The sequence below is a fragment of the Homo sapiens genome, chromosome 11 (genome assembly GCF_000001405.40).
Source record: "Homo sapiens chromosome 11, GRCh38.p14 Primary Assembly".
Classification (NCBI taxonomy): Eukaryota; Metazoa; Chordata; class Mammalia; order Primates; family Hominidae; genus Homo; species Homo sapiens.
In genome coordinates this window covers 38,635,779-38,656,829 of record NC_000011.10, presented here as the reverse complement: position 1 = coordinate 38,656,829, position 21,051 = coordinate 38,635,779, and the positions used below count along the sequence as shown (strand labels likewise).

Sequence of the window (21,051 nt, the reverse complement as noted above, 5' to 3'; positions counted from 1 at the left end):
AATTAATGTCAGTACTTATTTTATTGTTACGAAAAATATCATTTTGCAAATCTAAAACATAATATAAATTTCCAAAGAGGAATTTCACTGCTGGAAGTCTTGGATTGCTTAGCCCATCTATTTTTACCATCCCCTTGTAGTTTGTCAGTAAACAATCTGAAACTCATAGTGAAATGTTCACAAGGTAATTAATGTGAGCAGTTTTCTAAGAAAAATATATACCGCCCCCAACACCACCAACCGTTTTTTTGAAATTCCACAATGTGAATCCTACTCTAGAGTGTAGAGAGTATTTGCTGCAGAAATGACATTTGGCAACATCCCATTTGCCTGATGTATATTGAGAAAGCAAAAAGTAGACTGTTCTGCTCCTTTTACATATATCTAGTGCAACTTTTTCAGACATGTGAAAGATTAAGTACTAGAATTGAATTGAAATTTTCAAGACTGGGAATAATAACAAACTTGTATGATACAAAGAAGAGTGTCATGTGTTTTTCAGTTTTTGCAATGCTACCAGTATTGTATTTATTAATACATTGTTCCCTTTTCATATATCTATTTTTCTACTTTTCCCATACAAGTTGTCTGTATGGACTTACTTTGAAATATACTTGCATACATTTTCAAAGAATATGATTGAGATAACATAGTATTTTTTGGATAAAATAAATTCAAATAGTTGACAAGCCAGTGCTAAGTTTTATTTTTATTCTACATTTCAGTAGGTGGTTTTTCCAAATGGATACATTACTTTTAGATATGATAGAAAATCTTTATCAACTGTATTGTATATCTTCTGAATGGTTCCATATTTTGAAAAATATTTAAGTGGGAAGATATTTATGTTACTTAAATCTATAATTCCTCGAAATCCTTTTTAAATAGAATTTGGTGAGCTGGTGGCTAATGAAACAGTGTGGTATAGGTGGATGTATTTGGCTCTTCAATATTCTATATTTCGTTTAATCAACTGTATCTTCTCCCCTAAGGGCAAAAAAATTCCCTGTTTAAAGAAAGGCAATTTTGGGGAAGGTAGCAATGAAATCGGAAAACACAAATTATATCTTTGGTTTTAAAGGAACTTGAATTCAAATTTTAACATCACAAATGCTAATGTGTATCATCTTGAACCAATTGCTTATTCTCCCTGACCTTTAGTTTTATTAACTGTACAGAAGGGCAGTGGTATGGGAGGCTAATTATCTTCACATTGGAAGGCCATAGTAGAATTCAGTGACATTATTTACACAGTCCCTTGCATAATCCCCTGTTTTTTAAAAAAAGGTCCCATTAATGCTATTACCTCACCCATTTTCTGGATGATTTTATGCTAACAGAATAGAAAGGGTGTTTTTAATGTATTGCTTTGTAATGCAAAACAAAACAAAGCAACAAGAATAAGAACAATATACTCCCTTTCAAACATAAAAATTTAAACTAGTACAGAGCAAAAATCTTGCATTAAAAAAGAGATTATGTAAAATTTGTCAGTACTCCCAACTACCCCTTCATAACTTTTAAAAATTTCAATTTTAATGTTTTAAGAAATAAAATCCAAAATAATATGACCACCTTTCTTGCAAACTCTTGGATTTAATTAACCAGTAAAATGAATTTTCAGCCAACCTATTTAATGACTGTATCCCAAAGCATTGCCAAAACACAGTGCACGTAATATAATCCTCCCATAGTAACATCTTGCTTCAGATAACGTTTTTTCCAGCTCCGTAAGGAATATTCATGGAAGATTTTCTCTGAATTATATTTATTTGTACTGAAGCATGTCAGTATTAAAATGATTGTGCCATTGGTTGAGTTTATGAATAGTGCCATTGCATATTTATGCCCTCTGGAATAAGAGGTAAACCTGAAATCAATATATAGGTATTAAAAATAACTGTACACACAGATACACAAGAATTCATCTTACATGTGGGAACTGCATATTTCAGCCTTATTACCTTTGAGTTTAGAAAGGGTGAAAATAAATGCTGTCAGTATTAATGCTGGGAATTTCAGTTCTGGCAATTAAACTCAACATTTTGTTTTCATAGAGTATCCTAAAAAATCAGCTTCTACTTTTTTAGCTGATATAGCATCAATTACTGATTGTTTTAATTCTGCCATCAAAGAAATCCACCAACATTCTCCTGTATACTTATTTATATTATCACTTTGGAATTCATATATTTCCAGAGATACAATAATTGAATTTAGAGGGCTGGGAAAGAAGGTTAAATGCCAACTGAGTGTAGGGTTTGAGTAGAAAATATCTACATATTATTACATCTTATATTTTGAAGAACTCTTGTATTAGCTATATATCATCATTCATCACTCTATATATAGATAAAAGAAAGCAGATTCAGAGGAATTAAGTAAAGGACCCAAGGTCATATAGATAGTAAGAAGTAGAGAAGATTAAAATGCGCATTTTTCAAGTGACTTCATATCACTTGTTATGTGATATCACTTTATATCACTTAAGGCTTTACCTGGCCTTGATCTTAAGAAGAGAAATAGGTCGAAGACATGTTACGTAGAAAGAAAATAAGAAAGTAAATTAATACTGTTCTATCTGGCTTTTTACTACTGATTAATTTGTTGCAATGATTCCTTGAATAAGCTGACTAGGGATTTGTAACCTAGCTAACAAATTGAAACATGCCAAAGATTGGCTGTGGCCTGTCATAGACAAGAAATAAGAGGTAGTGAAGAGAGCCAGGATATTGAGTTAAACAAACATGAACTCATGCCACTAATGCATTATGTGTCCTTGGGCAAGTGAGTTAATTTCATTCTGTTTTTCTTTTCTAATATTTAAAATGGAAGGACAACGTCAATAAGAATGTCAATAAGAATTATTGATACGTGTCTCCCGGGGAGTTTGAGAAGTAAGAGACATTTACCATGCCTTACACAATTCGTGGCACAGTGTAGGTGTTTAAATTATAGTATTTCTTTTATTCATTCTTAATATTTTGTCAAGTTTTTCCTTTCTTTTGGATTCTAGGAATGTGATTTTTTTCTCTTGGCAGGCGAAACAACAAATTACACCTTCATATGACTAATATGCTTATGTGTCATCCAAACACTTTTACTTCCAATGGCAATGCTAATTAGAGGGGCATGATTAGCAAAATACTAGCCATTTGGAATAATATACCCATATATTATAGAAACACTTTTTGTTTCCAAGTGTTTGATATGTATGTTTAATGTATAAAAAGGTAAGAAATATACATATATATATATACATGTGTATATATATGTGTGTGTGCTTAACAGCTAAGTTATGCATGGGAGAAAAATGTCACTAGAACTAAATGCCTTACAGGTGTTGCATTCTCATTCTGTGAAAAAGATACGGACAAAAGAAGAAACAGAAAGTAAAAAAAAAAAAAAGAAGAAGAAGAAGAGATAATAGATTAGCAAAAGTGGCTAGAATTTCCAAAATTCTATTGGTAAAATAAAAAGTACATTTCTATAGTTAAACTAAAAATACGGTATACATGTTTCAAATGAAGTATAGACATAACATTTTATATTCTTGTTGGTGTTATTCAAGAACAATTGTTGAAAATGTTTAGTTGGAAATTGAGGATTGAATAAATTCACACGTATGGAGACAAATCATTGGCAGTGGAGAGAGTAAAGAAAAGAAGGAGATCAGCAAAGTTGAATAGACTAGGTGGGCAAAGACTCACTGAGATCTGTGTGAGAATGTCCTTCCGAAACTCTGATCTTCTTCTTAAGACATCTATCATCAGATCTCCTAATGCATTTTATCAATAATTTTGAATATTAACCTTAGGGCTAGTTAGATATTAAACAAATAGGGAAGTTCTGTATCAAAAAAAAATAAAAAAAGTTGTATAATGTTAAAAGGATTTCTTCATAGCATAATTACTAAGGGCCTTAACTATAGTATTATCCATTATTAAATCCAAAATAGATATCTGGTATATGGGTTTCTTAGTTTATTCAGAACAGAATTCCTTCACTACAGTGTTCCTTATGAAGGAAACATAAAAGAATACATGGTGGAACATGTGTATTAGACCTTTTATTTACAAATATTATGTGTAATTATTATATGCTGGATCCTGTGGTTCTCAATTAAGGGATGTTCTGGCTCATGTTCCCACACATACTTAGGGGCATCTGGAAATGTGAGTGGGAATTTTGTGGTTGGCACAAGGACTTGTGGAGGGTGGTGGGCAAGGATATATATAGTGTTCCAAGACACAGATGCTAAATGTTTTGCAGTTCCACACGTTAAAGAACTACTGCCTCTCCTCCCCCATGCCAGTAGTGATCTTATTTAAAAATAGCTAAACACATTTTGGGGGACTTTTTTAAGGAAAGTTCCACTCAAAACACATTGATAGTTGTTGGATTCTGTTAGTTCTTTTCCATGCCTGTTAAGCAATGATTATTTATATCACATGAACAAATATATATATTTGGTGCTGAGTGGTAAGAAAAAAACTACAAAAAGCAGAAAAGAATATTCAGTATACATCAATTGGAGGGCATCACAGAAGCAATTGGTTTCTTAAAATCTCTGTCTGATAATTTAATTTACTTCCCTGAATTTATCACTGAATCCTTAGGACTTATAAAACAAAGTGCAAATTCCTTAAACTGATATTCAAGGTTTTCCTAATCTGCACTTGAATATTTGTTGCCTATTAACATCCTCCCAGCATTTTCTTATCAATCCATTCATCACTTCTTCTACATTTCTTTTATTTCTTTGCCTCTGCATTTACCCACAGTGTACATTCTGCCTGGAATTCCCTTTCCCAGTCCACTCTTTATATGTCCAGATCCAAACTATTTTATTCTAGGCTCTGCTAAAAATGCCAAGACCTTTACGAATAGTTCCCTCAATTCCATTTCCTGAAAACAGAATATAATCTCTCGCTTGTTGAAACTCACTACTAATTGTTTTCTGTGATTCCTCATGATATTTGGTATTCTAGATATTGCATTATATTTATTTTTGTAGGTATCTTAATTCTGTCTCTAAATTATAAACACTTAAAGAATTGATTTATAGCTTACTAATCTTTGCAACTTCACAGCTCCTTAGAACCTCCACCCACATAGTTGCTACTCAATGAATAATTGCTAAGTTCATTACTAGTCCTTCAAATGGAGTCCTAGGGACTGGAGGTAAGTGAAATGATTGGTAGATAAGGAAAGGGGTTAATACTGGATAGTCACCACACTTCTAAGCATAATTAGCACGTTTTCAACGACTTCTGAGTACACTTGAGTTGACTTTAATAGTACTCCTGTTATCAATCCCAAGATGACCCAATTATTATGCTAGGACATACTAACTTGTCTAGGACTGACAAATACTTTTTGAAGTTAGCTTGTAAGTTTTCTCTAAAGTAGATTTGAAAGTTATTCATGTTCTATAGTGACCTTTCCATCTCTGATCTCTGATTCCTGACGTTGTGTAATACTCAAATAACCGTCAAAGCTGAATCAATCTAGTAAATAGTTCCCTAAAAATTTTACCTTTTTTCTATGATTAAACAATTAGTTGTTACTATTATTTCCTTTCCTCATAATTGTTAGATTTTTCATGGTTCTTCCTTTAGTAATTCTCCTCCAACTAGAAAATGTCAGAAGTATCATTTTTACTTCTTCAAATAAATAAACAGTCCTTTCATAACTTTGCTTATACAGATCTACTTTTCAAATATTTCAATAATATACCCTGCTCCTATAAGCAAGTATGCCTTCCATTATTTTGAACTTCAGGTTCTTAACCAGATGAGATATTGAGTAATCCAGACTATACCTAGATTCTGAAAGCAAGTGGTCAGAACCCAATAAATTGAGAGATTGTCTGAGTCACAAAGTATGCCAAAATAAATATGTTCCAGTAAACCTCTGAAGTCACCATGGAAATTGACTTCAAACATTTTTTTAGCATTCAATACATTTCTCTTTTCTGCCATTCATCTTATTTTTCAGGTATACTTGTCATGTTCCTTTTTAACTGGAAATATGGCTGGCATACACTCCTTTTAATAACTGTTAGTTCTGCATGTCTGAACCTAAATATCAAACATGATTGGAAAGAGATAAGGTGATGATATTGGAAAAACCTATCTAAAAGGTATGAGTCATGTTTCCAAAATAAGGCAGCAAATTCACTCTTCCTGTTAGTTTATTATTTCATCCAGTAGAATATGTACCTTTTGTTTGTTAATTGCAAGTCTTGATGCCCTGCAAGGACCTCTTTGCATTTTGTAGGTAATGCCGAAAAAAAAAAAAAAAAATTCCTACAGTTAGCATCCAGTATAGTTTATTGCTGTCTGCATTCTGACATTTAACAATGATCTCACTCTCACCAGCAATAGGTAATTGAAGTAAAATACATACTAAACCCAACCAAGATGTTATTTTTCTCCTTTAATGCAGCTCCTTTAAGTACTTGTCTCTCTGGTATTTTAATCTCTTGCAGGAAAAGAATTATTTTATGATACAAATTAACCCTTATAAATATGTTGATTTCTATTTGTCTTTCTATAATTCTTGATATATTAATATTCATTTTTTGTCATTATTAGCAAAAAATTTGAAATATATCTAGTGGGTTGAACAGTGCTCCCTAAAACATATGTCCAAGTCCTCATTTACGGTAGCTGTGAATGTGATCTTATTTGGAAATATGGTCTTTGCATGTGTAATTAAGCTAAATAATTTGAGATGAAATCATCTTGGATTTAGAGTAGGCCCTAAATTATTATTATTATTATTATTATTATTATTATTATCATTCTTCTTCTTCCTCTTCTTCTTCTTCTTCCTCTTCCTCTTCCTCCTCCTCCTCCTCCTCCTCCTCTTCTTCTTCTTCTTATTTTGAGATGGAGTCTCGCTCTGTTGCCAGGCTGGAGTGCAGTGGTGTGACCTCGGCTCACTGCAACCTCTGCCTCCTGGGTTCAAGTGATTCTCCTGCTTCAGCCTCCCGAGTAGCTGGGACTACAGGTGGCATGTGCCACCACACCCAGCTAATTTTTGTATTTTTAGTAAAGACGGGGTTTCACCATGTTGGCCAGGATGGTCTCAATCTCTTGACTTTGTGATTTGCCTGTCTCGGCCTCCCAAGGTGCTGAGATTACAGGCGTGAGCCACCATGCCTAGCCTTCTTCCTATTATTAAAAACATATTCTCAGAACTTTTCAATGTCTCATTGAAACTCAGTGCATAACATGCACATGAAATTTATTTTTCTTTCTTTTAAACTCTTCTTAATTTGAGAACAATAATTACCAAGTCAATCACTTATCTCAAAGTGAGGCTTCAGTTGAAGTCTTTTCTTATAGTAAGACAATTATGCAGATAAAGATGTTTCTTAGAGCCACTATTTCTTGCATCTGATTTTGATTATGCTTGAGAGATGATATAATTATAAAGATTAATTAGTAGTCAGCAGAATAAAGTCATATTTCCTCACATTAGCAATATGTCAGTACTAAAATGCTGAAGCTTTCAGAGAAATGTGATAAAAAATGTTCAGTGCTTGTTAGGTCAGGCAAGTCAATGAAACTGTATTTTTGTGTGCATGCTGATTTGCAAAAATGCAACAGAGATAGTCAGATGAAGGGAATGAAGATTCATTAAGTTTGTAAAAACTCTTTAATTGCTAATTAGATGGGAGCACATCACATTCAAATTGGAAACATTTAGCTCTTTTTCTCCTTACCAATTAATAATAAGAGAGAGAAGATATTTAAAGAAACAAATAATATTTAGGAGGTCTCTTTTGGGCAGACCTGGGCATCACGTATTTCTTTCCATAAAAGTAATTTAACAACATCAGCAGTAACAATATCAATATCAATATCAATAGATAGGATGTTTACCCCTGAAAGGCATTAATTCATCTGTCTTGCCAGCACTAATGAAGGATATGTACTTTCTATGTAGTCCAACACTGCATGTTGACCTGTGCTTTACCTCTTTGCCTCCTCCTAAGCTGAGATTCTTGAGAGCATGGGCTGTGAACACTGTGCTGAGTCACACTGGAGCCTGACACAAAAAGAGTAAATCAGTCATACTCACCTTCTATTTATGTAATATTTTACATTTACGTTTATATTTTGTAAAAATACTGCATTTAACCATTAATTATATTGAGTACGATTTTATTTTGTTGGTGCTTCCTTACTGCTACGTTCTAGAAGAGGACTTACCTGTCTTTTCTTAATCCTGGTCCTTGTGATTCTCATTTATGTGGCCCAGTGCCTGGCACAAGGTCCCCCACATAACTGGTGCTTAAGGAAACAGCTTATGATTCAACAAGTCCTTTATAAGAATTGTGATGCAGCTCTTTCAAACAGAACTTAAAATGCCCAATGAGGACTTAAAACAATCCTATGAAATAGAAACTGGGAGTTGTTAGCAAATGATAACAGGCTCAGCAAGTTAAAGCAAATTACCCCTCGGGCTAACATACAGTCAGATGCCCTCTATGCTATTTATTTTCAAACATATCATGTTAAAAACAAAATGCTTCCTGAAGCAGGTATTGATTTTTTGCCTTTATTATTTGTTAGAATACAATATATTTAACACTTCCTATGAGTAGCTAATAACATCAATATTAGAGCATTGTATATTCTAAAGGCTAAATTTGGATAAATTTCAGTGTAAATATTATAAAATAACCATGAGCAGCAAGATAGAAAAAATCTTAAATTTCTTTATTTAATTTTATATTTAAATCAAAATTCAATAACATTTGAAATGCTTTATGCCAGTTTGGGGTCCCCTATTATTTGCTGTATACATTTTGTTCATATGAAAACTTGTTGACTATGCCAATCAATAAATTTGCCTTAAATTGAATCAGAGGATCTTAATCAATGGGAGTCCAAAATTATGTTTGGCCTAGAGAAAAGATGGGCACTGTATAAGACAGTAGAGTATCATATGCCTGTTGAAAAATTAGTCTGTCCAACAGACTAATTGTAAGTGTCCAACACTTACTCATTCTAATCTAACTTAGCTATGGTAAATTTCTTAAAAGTTTTCTCTGTCCATGCAATGAAAAAAAGCAAACTTACTGGAAAAATATGATTTGAGATTTGCATTTCTATGGTGCACTACAGATGGCACATTACATTAAAATATATATTGAATACTAAAAATGGTAAATCCCACGTCAGCTACTGCTGATGTCTTTCAGACCATCATACCTAACGTCTTTTCTCCAAATTCAGTTCTGAGTTCTAGGCTCTTTATTGGCCTCATATAGGTCAGAAAAACTAAAGATGAAAAAAGTGAAATCATATAATCTGTAAGTACTTGATATTAATGAATTTACTCAGTCAAAAATTTTGGGAAAACTCTCTCTGCTAGTATAGACCTCCCCAAAATGGATATAACATAGTTATAAGCAAACTTTCTGAATATAAAGTGGTGAAGAGAGGGAAAGGGAGAGTGATTATAGTATTATATAAAAAGTAACAATCAGTTGTTTTTCTTGAATAAAGGAGTATCTTCTAAATGATTCTTGCCTTAGAATCTCATCTCTTAATCTCAGAAGTCGAGTTTGTTATATAAACTTTCAATCAGAGAGAAACCCGAGCTCAAAATAAATTAAAAATTCTAAGCAATGGCTGCAAGTGATTTTCCAAAATGCATATGGAGAAGGGTTTGCTTTTCTTGAATAAGTTCTGCATGAATCTGTCCAGGTAACAAAAGAGATAAAGATAGCTATGAATACAATAATATAAATGTAGTTGTCCTTTAAACTCTGAACTTTGTCCAGCTCTAAGAGACTGAGGACTTTTTATAATTTTCACGCTGATTCTGGGTCTAGAAAGTGCAGGCCAAACTAGGCTGTGGATTAATACAGTAGGAAGCAGAACAGTACTCCTCGGATAAAAGAATGGGGTCCAGACACAAAGATGTGAATTTTACCTGAGGGCTTTACTGATGGACTAATGAGCAGGGATTGTAACTTAAGAAACCTTTACAGATATTGACCTTTTTTCTTTTATATTGCTGCATTATAAGCCATATCAAAATTTAAACACCTAAAACAGCTATCTGATTATCTCTTATTTTTCCATGAAATGATTGGGCTCAGTTTTTTTCTCTCTACGTGATACTTGCTGGGCCATTGTTGAATGGCTGTAAATGTCAGGCTATTGGGCCAATCTAAAATTGGCCTGGAATGTCCGACTTGGCTCACTCACATGGTTGGCATTTGATGCTGGCACTTGGCAGGGAGATCATATGGGATTGACAGAGGCAAGTTAGTTCTCCATGTGGTCTCCCCATGTGGCTTGGGCTTCTCATATTATGACTACTCATTAAAGAACAGAAAGTGGATGCTGTCTGTTATCTTAAAGCCTGGGGTTCTAGAATGTCACTTTTGCCTCATCTTATTGGTTACATCCGAGGACAGCCCACAATCAAGGGGAGGGTAGATATGTTCTACCTCTTGACATGTAGTATGAACATAAAGGTAAGAGAAAAATTTTTAGACACTGTCATTGGAAACCAGCTACCGCATTACTTTATATATGCCTATCTTTAGGTTAACAGTTTAATAATCTGGATGTAATCCATTGCATACCATAGATGCATATTTTTTTACTTGTCAAATTATTTTTGTTTTCATTAGAAAATCCAAAATTAAAATAATTCCATTGATTTTTTTAAAGATAGATACATATTTCATATAAAGTCAGTTAACAAATCTGGTATGTTATAATGGACAAACCAAGTACCTATACAATGATATGGCATGTACTATTCACAGCAGTGTTTAAATCCAGTCTTTTTTCATGGGATTGGGGGTTATGGGCTTGAGGTTACGCAAAACATCAAAGTGGAGGTAGCTTCATTCTGGGCAATAATTGTTAAGTAAATTAATTTTTTGAACCTGACTTTTTTCATTTATTAAATGTAGATTATAATATTCTAGTGGGCATTTCTTATCTACTAATCTATCAGCTATTTTATAATTCTCCTCAACTAATAGTACCTGAATTTTGTTTAGGTAACATCCCATTCTTCAAACCGCCTAATCTAAGCCCTTATTGACTTAACCAATTATCATATTCCATTCTTTTGGGTAAAATGATGGTGTTAGGGTTGGGACCCCATCAAACCAATTCAAATAGAATAAATGTAAAAACAATTGGAATGTTGGAAAAAATTTCTTTCTCTGTACACAAACAAAGTATGCAGCACTAGGAGTTGTTATCAAAAGTTATTGAGTAGAGAAGAACTGTTTTATCATGAGATTGGCAATATGGCATTTAGAGAAGAAAGATGAATTTACTGCTTCAAACTGCAGCTACATTTTCTTCTCAGAAGTCTACATTTGAGAGCTAATGGTGAACCTTTTGCTATAAATCTCTTTATGTTAGAATTTTTGATTGTAGCAAAATTAAGATACTTAAAATATGTATACATCACAGAATTGTTTTGAAAATTAAATTTGATAATTATTATAAAACATCCTGTACCATGTCTGGCATATAAACACTTTTTAAAAATTTTACTCATTATTTGAAGTATGGCAATATTCCTAGACTATCAAATAATTTTATTTTTTCTTAAGAAACAGATTTTAAATATTTTTTTGTTTAGTTACAGAACAAAAAAAAATCATAGAACCTTGAGTCTATTTGATTTTAATTTCAATACATAAGGTAGAGCTGCCTGCAATGACAAGCTTACCTAACAGAGAAATATGGTGTAAATGAAAAACACAATAAAAATGTAATTATGGAAGCTGGTTGATTTTTTTTCCTTGAAAGAAGTTTATGTTGGATAAGAAAGAGCTGATTTCTATTATTTGGTATGATTACAGTATTCTATTTATATTCTCAGCACTGAATTAATTTCTTTTTTAATGCTAACCTTGCTGAGGATCCTTTTAAAATACTTTAATGAGTTGAGTACATAAATCATCTCAGTGAACACAAACACTTGTATGTAAAAACTCTGGAGGGAGCTTTCTAAAGATTTTAGAGTAGAAAATGAGTCACTTGAAGGCTTTGTGCCCCCTCTTTTCACTTACCAAAATGAAAATAAATAACAATTGTTATTTTTCATAGACTTAGCAATGGTAAAATCTTTAATAAAAAATTGTTCAAAAGAAAACATACAGCATTGCATATAGAGAGCTTTACAATACATTGCATACAAAGACTACCAAGTACAGGAGTACAGGCTTAGCATTTGTTCTCAGGTTTGTGAATTTTGAGCTGGAATGAATATTGCATTATAATGGAGATCATATGCATATAGGCAAATGTCCACAGTAAAAAGGAGAGTTTTTGAAAGCTATACAGTAATCAATACAGATTAAAATTAGAGAATTAACAGCTAAATATTAAAACTAGAATAGAGAATACTTCATTTATATCTTCTATTAGCTGGAAATATTTATATGTATACAAACAAACTCTAATTTAAAAATAGATAAAGTGCTATAGTTCTGTAATTTGTCATAATTAAATACTTAAAATTATTAGGTGTTCTCACACATATATAACATCAGGTTTACAATTCAGGTAGCGATAATTTGTCAATCTATGGCGAGTCATTGAGTTTTGAATAAACATTGCTTAATTTGCTGGTTTGTAAAACTTCATTTTCATATATTAAATTTTCTTAGAGTAGATCTCATCAATATTCTCACTCAGCAGAAGCATCCCAAACCTTTACCTACATAGAGACACCAAACGTTGTTTTCTAAATAAGATTCATTGGAAGGAACCTAAAGACTCATCTATGATGGAGTTGAGAATATATTAGGAATAAATTAAAAATATAATGGAATACTGGGATAATTTTCCAGTTCTTGAAAACCATCCTACATAGACATAGCCTTGCATGTCTATCTCATAGTTTGTTGAGAAACTGAGGAAAGCATATTTCTATAATTTGCTTTATTCTCACCATTTATAATAGGGATATAAGCTTTAGAAAACAAAGATTCCATCAATACAGAAGGAAGTCAGAGACCAATACTATGTAGTAAAACAAAAATCAAACCAAAACCCATGATTCTGATATAAGATCTATAACAATAATTTGTTTTTTGTTGAATTTAATTTCTATATGTCTGAGTGTTTTAATTTTGTGGAAAAAAAAGGTAACAATAACTTTTAAGCCCTCAAGGGATGAAACTGTTTAGCTGAAGGACATAGTGAACCATTAAGTTTGAGGTGAACTACCCAACAGAATAGCTCCTTAGGAATAAATCAGAAAGTGGCATATTAAAAAGCTACTTGCAAGTTCTGTCTGTATATCTTAACTCCCCCGGAGAATGCCTTGCTCTTACTCTATAAAACATTCTTTTTCCTTAATAACTGACATTATTAGGAAAATGGGGAGGTGGAGCAATATAGCCAAATAGAAACCTCCACCAATAGTTCTCCTACAGGAATACCAAATTGAAAAACTATTTATACAAAAAACACCTTCATAAGAACAAAAAATCAGGTGAACAATCACAGTACCTGGTTTTAACTTCATATTACTGAAAGAGGCACCAAGAGGGTAGGAAAGACCATCTTTAATGTCAACACCACCCCTCCCCAATCTCCTGGCAGTGGCACCATAAGGCAGAGAGAGAATCTGTGCACTTGGTGGAAGGAGAACAAAGCAAATGTGGTGCTTTGCATTGGAACTCAGTGCTGCTGTATCAATGTGGAAAGGAACACCAGGCAGAACTCCGTTGACATCCACAGAGGGAGCATTTAGACCAGCCCTAGCCAGAAGGGATCTGTTGACCCCAGGAATTGGAACTTGAGGTCTGGCAAGCCTCGCTACTGTGGGCTAAACAACTCTGTGATCTAAAATAAGCTTCAAAGGCAATCTAGGTCACAAGGACTGCACTTCCTGGGAAAGCCATGATGCTTGGAGCCAGTGGACTTGGGGGACAAGCAACCTAGTGAGACACCAGCTAGGGTGTTCAAGTGAGTATTTGTGCTACCCCTTCCCCAGTGCCAGGCAGCACAGCTCACAGCTCTGGGAGAGACACTTTCCCTCTGTTTAAGGAGACGAGAAGGGGGAGTAAGAAAGACTCTGTCTTACAACATGGATACCAGCTCAGCCACAATAGGACTGGGCATGAAACAAAGTTGCAAGGCCCACATTCTGGGCCGTAGCTCCTGGATGATATTTCTAGACACACCCTGGGCCAGAGGAAACCTACTCTCTGAAAGGAAGAATAAGGCAGGATTCATCACCTGCTGACTAGAGAGCCCTTGGGACCTGAATAATCAGTAGAAATACCCAGGCAGTACTTCCTATGGGTTTTAGGTGACACTCTGAGACATGCTGGCTCCAGATGTGATCTAGCACATTCCTAGCTGTGGTGACTATGGGGAGAGATTCCTTCTGCTTGAGAAAAGGAGAGAGAAGAATAAAGAGGACTTTGCCTTGAAGCTTAGGTACCAGCTTGGCCACAGTGGGGTAGAGCACTAAGCAGGTTCTTGGGGTCCCCAGTTGCAGGCCTTGGCTCTTGGAAGGCATTTCTGAACCTGCCCTGGGCTACTGGGAGGCCCATTGCCCTGAAGGGAGAGGTCCTAGGCATGGCAGCACTTACCACGAGCTTAAAAAAAGAATGGTTGGGCTTTGAGTGAGCATCAGCAGTTGCTGGTCAATACTTGCCATAGGCCTGGGCCTTTGGTGGCCATCAAGAAAGACTCCTTTGCTTGTGGAAAAGGGAGGAAAGAGTGGAAAGGATGTTGTCTTGTGGCTTGGGTGCCAGCTCAGCTGCAGAACAATAGAGCATCAGGGGGATTCTTAAGGTTTCTCATTGAAGACTTTGCCTTCCTGACAGCATCTCTAGACATGCCTGGGTTCAGACAAACTCACTACCCTGAAGGGAAAGACACAAGACTGGCTGGCTTTGTCCCCTGCTGATTGTAGAGTGTCAGTTCCTTGAGTGAACATAGATGGCAGCCAGGCAGTGGTTACAGCAGGCCTTGGGTAAAACCCAGTACCATGCTGGCTTCAGGTCCGATTCAGCACAGTCCCAGTGGTAGTGGCCACAAGGGTACTTGTGTCAACCCTCCCCCAGATCCAGGCAGCTTGGAACAGAGAGAGATACTTCATTTGTTTGGGAAAAACTAATGGAAGAAAGGGGCCGGGGGCGGTGGCTCACGCCTGTAATCCCAGCACTTTGCGAGGCCAAGGCAGATGGATCACGAGGTCAAGAGAGATCAAGACCATCCTGGCTAACATGGTGAAACCCTGTCTGTACTAAAAATGCAAAAAAATTAGCTGGGTGTGGTGGCAGGTGCCTGTAGTCCCAGCTACTCGGGAGGCTGAGGCAGGAGAATGGCGTGAACCTGGGAGGCAGAGCTTGCAGTGAGCCGAGATTGTGCCACTGCACTCCAGCCTGGGTGACAGAGTGAGACTCCGTCTCAAAAAAAAAAAAAAAAAAAAAGTAATGGAAGGGAAAAGCAGTCTCTGCCTGGTAATCTAGAGAATTCCTCCACATCTTATCCAAGACCACCAAGACCACCTCTACAAGTCTGTAAAGCCACGGATTACTGAAGTTGGGGTGCCTCCTAATGCAGATACAACTACAGTGATGAAATATGTAGATTACAAAACCAAAGTTCCTTAGAATACTCAGAAAGCCTTCCCAAGAAGAATCAGCACAAACAAACTCAAACTGTGAAGAAAAAAATACCTCACACCTCAGTGCCTAATAAACATCCACAGCCATCAAAACCATTTAGGAAACATGACCTCATCATGAACTAAATAAGGCACAGAACAGAGATACGTGCACTTCCAGACAGAGAATTCAAAATAGCTGTGTTGAGGAAGCTCAGTGGAATTAAAGATAACACAGAAAAGGAATTCAGAATTCTATTGAATAAATTTAACAAAAAATTGAAATAAATGAAAAGAACTAAGCAGAAACTCTGGAGTTGAAAAATGCATTTGCATACTAAAGGATGCATCGGAGTCTCTTACCAGCAGAATTGATCAAGCAAAAGAAAGTATTAGTGAGCTTAAAGACAGGCTCTTTGAAAATACACAGTCAGAGGACATTTTAAAAAAGAATAAAAATGAATGAAGCATGCCTACAATAACTAAAAAACAGCCTGAAAGGGGCAATTCTAAGCGTTACTGGCCTTAGAGAGGAGATAGAGAGAGAAAGATTGAGGTAGAAAGTTTATTCAAAGGGATAATAACAGAAAACTTCCCAAACATAGAGAAAGATATCAATACTCAAGCATTAATAAAAGAAGGTTACAGAATACCAAGCAGATTTAACTCAAGCAAGTGTACCTCAAGACATTTAATAATCAAACTCCTAAAGTCAAGGATAAAGAAATGATTCCAAAAGTAGCATGAAAAAAGAAACAAATAACATATAATGGAGCTCCAAGAGATCTGGCAGCAGACTTCTCAATGGAAACATTACATGTCAAGAGGAAGTGGTATATTCAAAGTGCTAAAATAAAGCAAACAAACTTTTCTTCTAGAACAGTATGCCTAGTAAAAATATCCTTTAAATATGGAGAAATAAAGATTCTTTCAGAAAAACAAAAGCTGAGGGATTTTATCAACACTAGACTTGTCTTACAAGAGATGCTAAAAGGAGTTCCTTGATCTGAAAGAAAAGGATGTTAATGAGCAACAAAATATTTAGAGGTGCAAAACTCATGCAATAATAGTAAGTACACAGAAGAACACAAAATATTATAATATTGTAATTGTATTTGTACAATTGGTTTGTAAATTATTCATATCTTGAGAAGAGGAAAAGATAAGTTGATCAAAATAATAACTTCAGCAACTTTTCAATATATAGACAGTACAATAAGATATAAACGGAAACAACAAAAAGTTAAAAAGCAGGAGGATAAAATTCAAATGTAGAGATTGTACTCATTTTATCTTTATTTATTAGTTTGTTAGTTTATGAAACCAGTTTAAGTTGTCATCCGTTGAAAATAATTGGTTATAAAATATTATTTGCATGCTACATGGTAACCTCAAGTCATAAAACATGTATCAAATACACAAAAAAATAAAAAGCAAGAAATTAAAACATGCCACCAGATAAAGTTATCTTAATTAAAAGGAAGTCATAAAGGAAGGAAAGAAGGAAGAGAAGACCAAAACAGTTGGAAAACAGATAGCAAAATGATAGCAGTAAGTCCTTAGTTATCAATAATAACCTTGAATGTAAATGGACTGCACCCTCCTATCAAAAGAGATGGAGTGGCTGAATGGATAAAAAGAAAAAAAATAAGATCTAAAAATCTGATAACCATAAGAAACACACTTCACCTATAAAGACACAAAAATATGCAAAATATAGGGATAGAAAAAAGATATTCTTATGCAAATGGAAATCAAAAAAGAGGAAGAGTAGCTATACTTATATCAGGCAAAATATATTTTAACACAAAAATCATAAAAAGAGACAAAGAAGGTTATTATATAATGATAAAGTTGTTAATTCAGCAAGTAGTTATAATAATAGTAAACATATATGCACTCAGCACTGGAGCAACCAAATATATAAAGCAAATATTATTAGTGCTAAAGAGAGAGATAGAATCCAATACAATAATAGCTGGAGGATTTAACACTTCACTTTCATCATTAGACAGATCATCCAGACAGGAAAAGAACAAAGAAACATCAGACTTTATCTGCACTACGGACCAAATGAACATAATACACATTTACAGAACATTTCACCCATCAGCTGTGGAATAAAAGTTATTTTCCTCAGCACATAAATTATTCTCAAGGTTAGACCATATGTTAGGCCACAAATCAGTTCAAAAAACTGAAATTATGTCAAGTATCGTCTCTAAACATTGTGGATTAAAACTAGAAACCAATAACAAGATGGATTTTGGCAACTATACAAGCACATGAAAATTAAACAATATGCTCCTGAATGACCAGTGGGTCGACAAAGAAATTAAGAAGGAAATTAAAAATTTCTTGAAACAAGTAAAAATGGTAACAAACTTAGCAAACTTATGAGATGTAGTAAAAGAAGTACTAAGAGAAGATTTATAGCTGTAAGTTCCTATATTTAAAAAGTAGAAAAACTTCAACTAAACAACATAATGATACATCTTAACTAGAAAAGCAAAAGCAAATAAAACCTCAAACTAGTAGAATAAAAGAATAATAAAGATCAGAGCAGAAATAAATAAAATTGAAACAAAAAAATAGAAAAGATAAGTGAAACCAAAAGTAGATTTTGAAAAGACAAACAAAATTGATGAACCTTACTTTAAGTAAGAACAAAGAAGACTCAAATAAGTAAATTCAGAAATGAAAAAGAAGACATTGCAACCAATACCACAGAAATCCAAAGGATCACTAGACTACTGAGCCTCTACATGCCAATGAATTGGAAAACTTAGAATAAATGGATAAATTCCTTGACAAATATGACCTACCAAGATTGAACCATGAAGAAATTCAAAACCTAAGCAGACCAATTACAAGTAATGAGATCAAAGCCATAATAAAATGTCTTATAGCAAAGCAAAGCCTGGGACTTGATGTCTTCACTACTCAATTTTTCCAAACATTTAAAGAAGAATGAATATCAATTCTACTCAAACTGTTTCAAAAAATAGAGATGGAGAGAATACTTCCAAATTTATTGTAAGAGGCCAGTATCACACCAATACTAAAGCTAGACAGGAAAGGAAAGGAGAGGAGAGGAGAGGAGAGGGGAGGGGAGGGGAGGGGAGGGGAAGGCAGGAGAGGGGAGAGGGAAGAAGAAAGGAAAGAAGGAAGGAAGGAAGAAAAGAAGGAAGGAAGGAAAGAAAGAAAGAAGAAAAAGAAAAAAGAAAGAAGAAAAAGAAGAAAGAAAGAAGAAAGAAAGAAGAAAAAAGAAAGAAAGAAAGAAAAGAAAGAAAGAAAGAAAGAGAAAGAAAGAAAGAAAGAAAGAAAGAAAGAAAGAAAGAAAGAAAGAAAGAAAGAAAGAAAGAAAGAAACTGCAGGCAAATATCCATGATAAACATTGATGCAACAATCCTCTACTAAATACTAGCAAACCAAATCAATAACACATTAAAAAGATCATTTGTCATGATGAAGTTGGATTTACTCTAGGGATGCAAAGATGGTTCAACATATGCAAATCAATCAATATAATACATCATATCAACAGAATGAAGGAAAAAATCATTTAAATTGATGCTGAAAATGCATTTTTTGAAATCCCACATCCTTTCATGATAAATGTCCTGATAAATGAAATTCATGATAAATAAATGAAAGTAAACAATCAACAAAGTAAAGAGAAAACACACAGAATGGGAGAAAATATGTGCAAACTATTCATCTGACAAGGGATTAATAACAGGAAAAAACTGGATACAGAAGGAACATACCTTAACATAATAAAAGTTATATATGACAGACTCACAGCTAGTATACTGCATGGGGAACAATTGAAAACCTTTTCTCTAATATCTGTAAGATGACAAGGATGCTCACTTTCACCACTGTTATTCAACATAGTACTGAAAGTCCTGGCTACAACAATCAGACAAAAGAAAGAAATAAAGGGCATTCAAATTGGAGTGGAAGAAGTCAAATTATTCTTGTTTACAGGCGATATGATCTTCTATTTTGAAAATCTTGAAGACCCCATCAAAAAACCTATTAGAACTGATAAATAAACAGAGTAAAGTTGCAGGATACAAAAATCAACATACAAAAATTAGTAGCATTTCTATATACCAACAGTGAACAATCTGAAAAAGAAATCCAGAAAGTAATCCCATTATAATACTACAAATAAAATAAATTCATAGGAATAAGCTTCACCAATGAAATAAAATATCTCTATAATGAAAACTATTTTAAAAATAATGAAAGAAATTGAAGTGGTAACACAAACCTGGAAAGATATTCCATATTCATCAATTAGAAGAATCAATATTATTAAAATGTTCTTACTACCTAAAGCAATCTAGAGATTCAATGCAATATCTATCAAAATACCAATGACAGTCTTCACAGAAGTAGAAAAAACAATGCTAAAATTTATATGGAACCACAAAAAGCCACAATAGCCAAAGTTATCCTAGCAAAAATAACTAAACTGGAGGAATTATATTACCTGACTTTAAATTATATTACAAAGCTTTAGTAACCAAAATAACATGGTCCTGGCATAAAAACAGATGCATAGACCAAGGCAACAGAATAGAGAATCCAGAAACAAATCCATACATCTACAGTGACCTAATTTTCAACAAAGGTGCCAAGAACATACATTGGGAAAAGGACAGTCTCTTCAATAAATGATACTGGCAACACTGGATATCCACATGCAGAAGAATGAACCTAGACCCTTATGTCTCACAGTTAAAAAAATCAAATCAAAATGGATTAAAGCCTTAAATCTAATACCTGTAAATGTAAAACTAGTAAAAGGAAACATTGGGTAAAATTTTCCAGGACATTGGACTGGGCAAAATTCCATGAGTAATACCCCACCAGCACAGGCAATCAAAGCACAAATAAACAAATAGGTTCACATCAAGTTAAAAAGCTTCCGTACAGGAAAGTAAACAATCAACAAAGTAAAGAAAAGACAAACAGAATGGGAGAAAATATGTTCAAACTATTCATCTGACAAGGGATTAATAACCAGAATATATAAGGAGCCCAAACAACTCAGGAAATAAATCTAACAATTTGATTTAGTAATGGGCAAATGATCTGAACAGACATTTCTAAAAGGAGCCATACAAATGGCAAACAGGTATGTGATCAGGTGCTTAACATCACTGATCATCAGAGAAATGCAAACCAAAACCACAGTGAGATAGCATCCCACCCCAGTTAAAATGGCTTTTATACAAAAGACAGACAGTAACAAATGCTGGTGAGGATGTGGAGAAAAGACAACGTTGGTACACTGTTGCTGGGAATGTAAATTAGCACAACCATTATAGAAAACAGTTGGGAGTTTCCTCAAAAAAACAAAGAGTGGAACCAACATAAGATCCAGCAATCCAACTACTAGGT

At 34.1% G+C, this 21,051-nt stretch overlaps 3 long non-coding RNA genes across 8 annotated transcripts in view; 1 reads left to right on the top strand and 2 right to left on the bottom strand.

The window, feature by feature from the left end:
* The window catches only part of LOC105376635 (uncharacterized), a 41,273-nt gene extending 30,919 nt beyond the window's left edge, over positions 1–10,354 (bottom strand). For 2 of the 5 annotated variants that reach the window (NR_188550.1, NR_188552.1), the window contains exons 1-2: positions 10,236–10,354; positions 7,896–8,061 (exon numbers count right to left, since the gene is read on the bottom strand). This is a non-coding gene — a long non-coding RNA (uncharacterized LOC105376635). Of the gene's footprint in view, positions 1–7,895; positions 8,062–8,225; positions 8,407–10,235 lie in introns of all 5 variants that reach the window. The other 3 variants (NR_188554.1, NR_188551.1, NR_188553.1) reach the window with 3 other exon arrangements.
* LINC01493 (long intergenic non-protein coding RNA 1493) lies at positions 1,581–7,972 on the bottom strand. The gene is made up of 3 exons (NR_120553.1): positions 7,896–7,972; positions 3,711–3,849; positions 1,581–1,870 (listed from the first exon to the last, which is right to left on the bottom strand). It is a non-coding gene; the product is annotated as a long intergenic non-protein coding RNA 1493 (long non-coding RNA).
* A 119-nt stretch (positions 10,355–10,473) lies between the features above and the next one.
* The window catches only part of LINC02759 (long intergenic non-protein coding RNA 2759), a 28,093-nt gene continuing 17,515 nt past the window's right edge, over positions 10,474–21,051 (top strand). For both annotated transcript variants that reach the window (NR_120555.1, NR_120554.1), the window contains exon 1: positions 10,474–10,507. This is a non-coding gene — a long non-coding RNA (long intergenic non-protein coding RNA 2759). The remainder of the gene's footprint in view (positions 10,508–21,051) is intronic.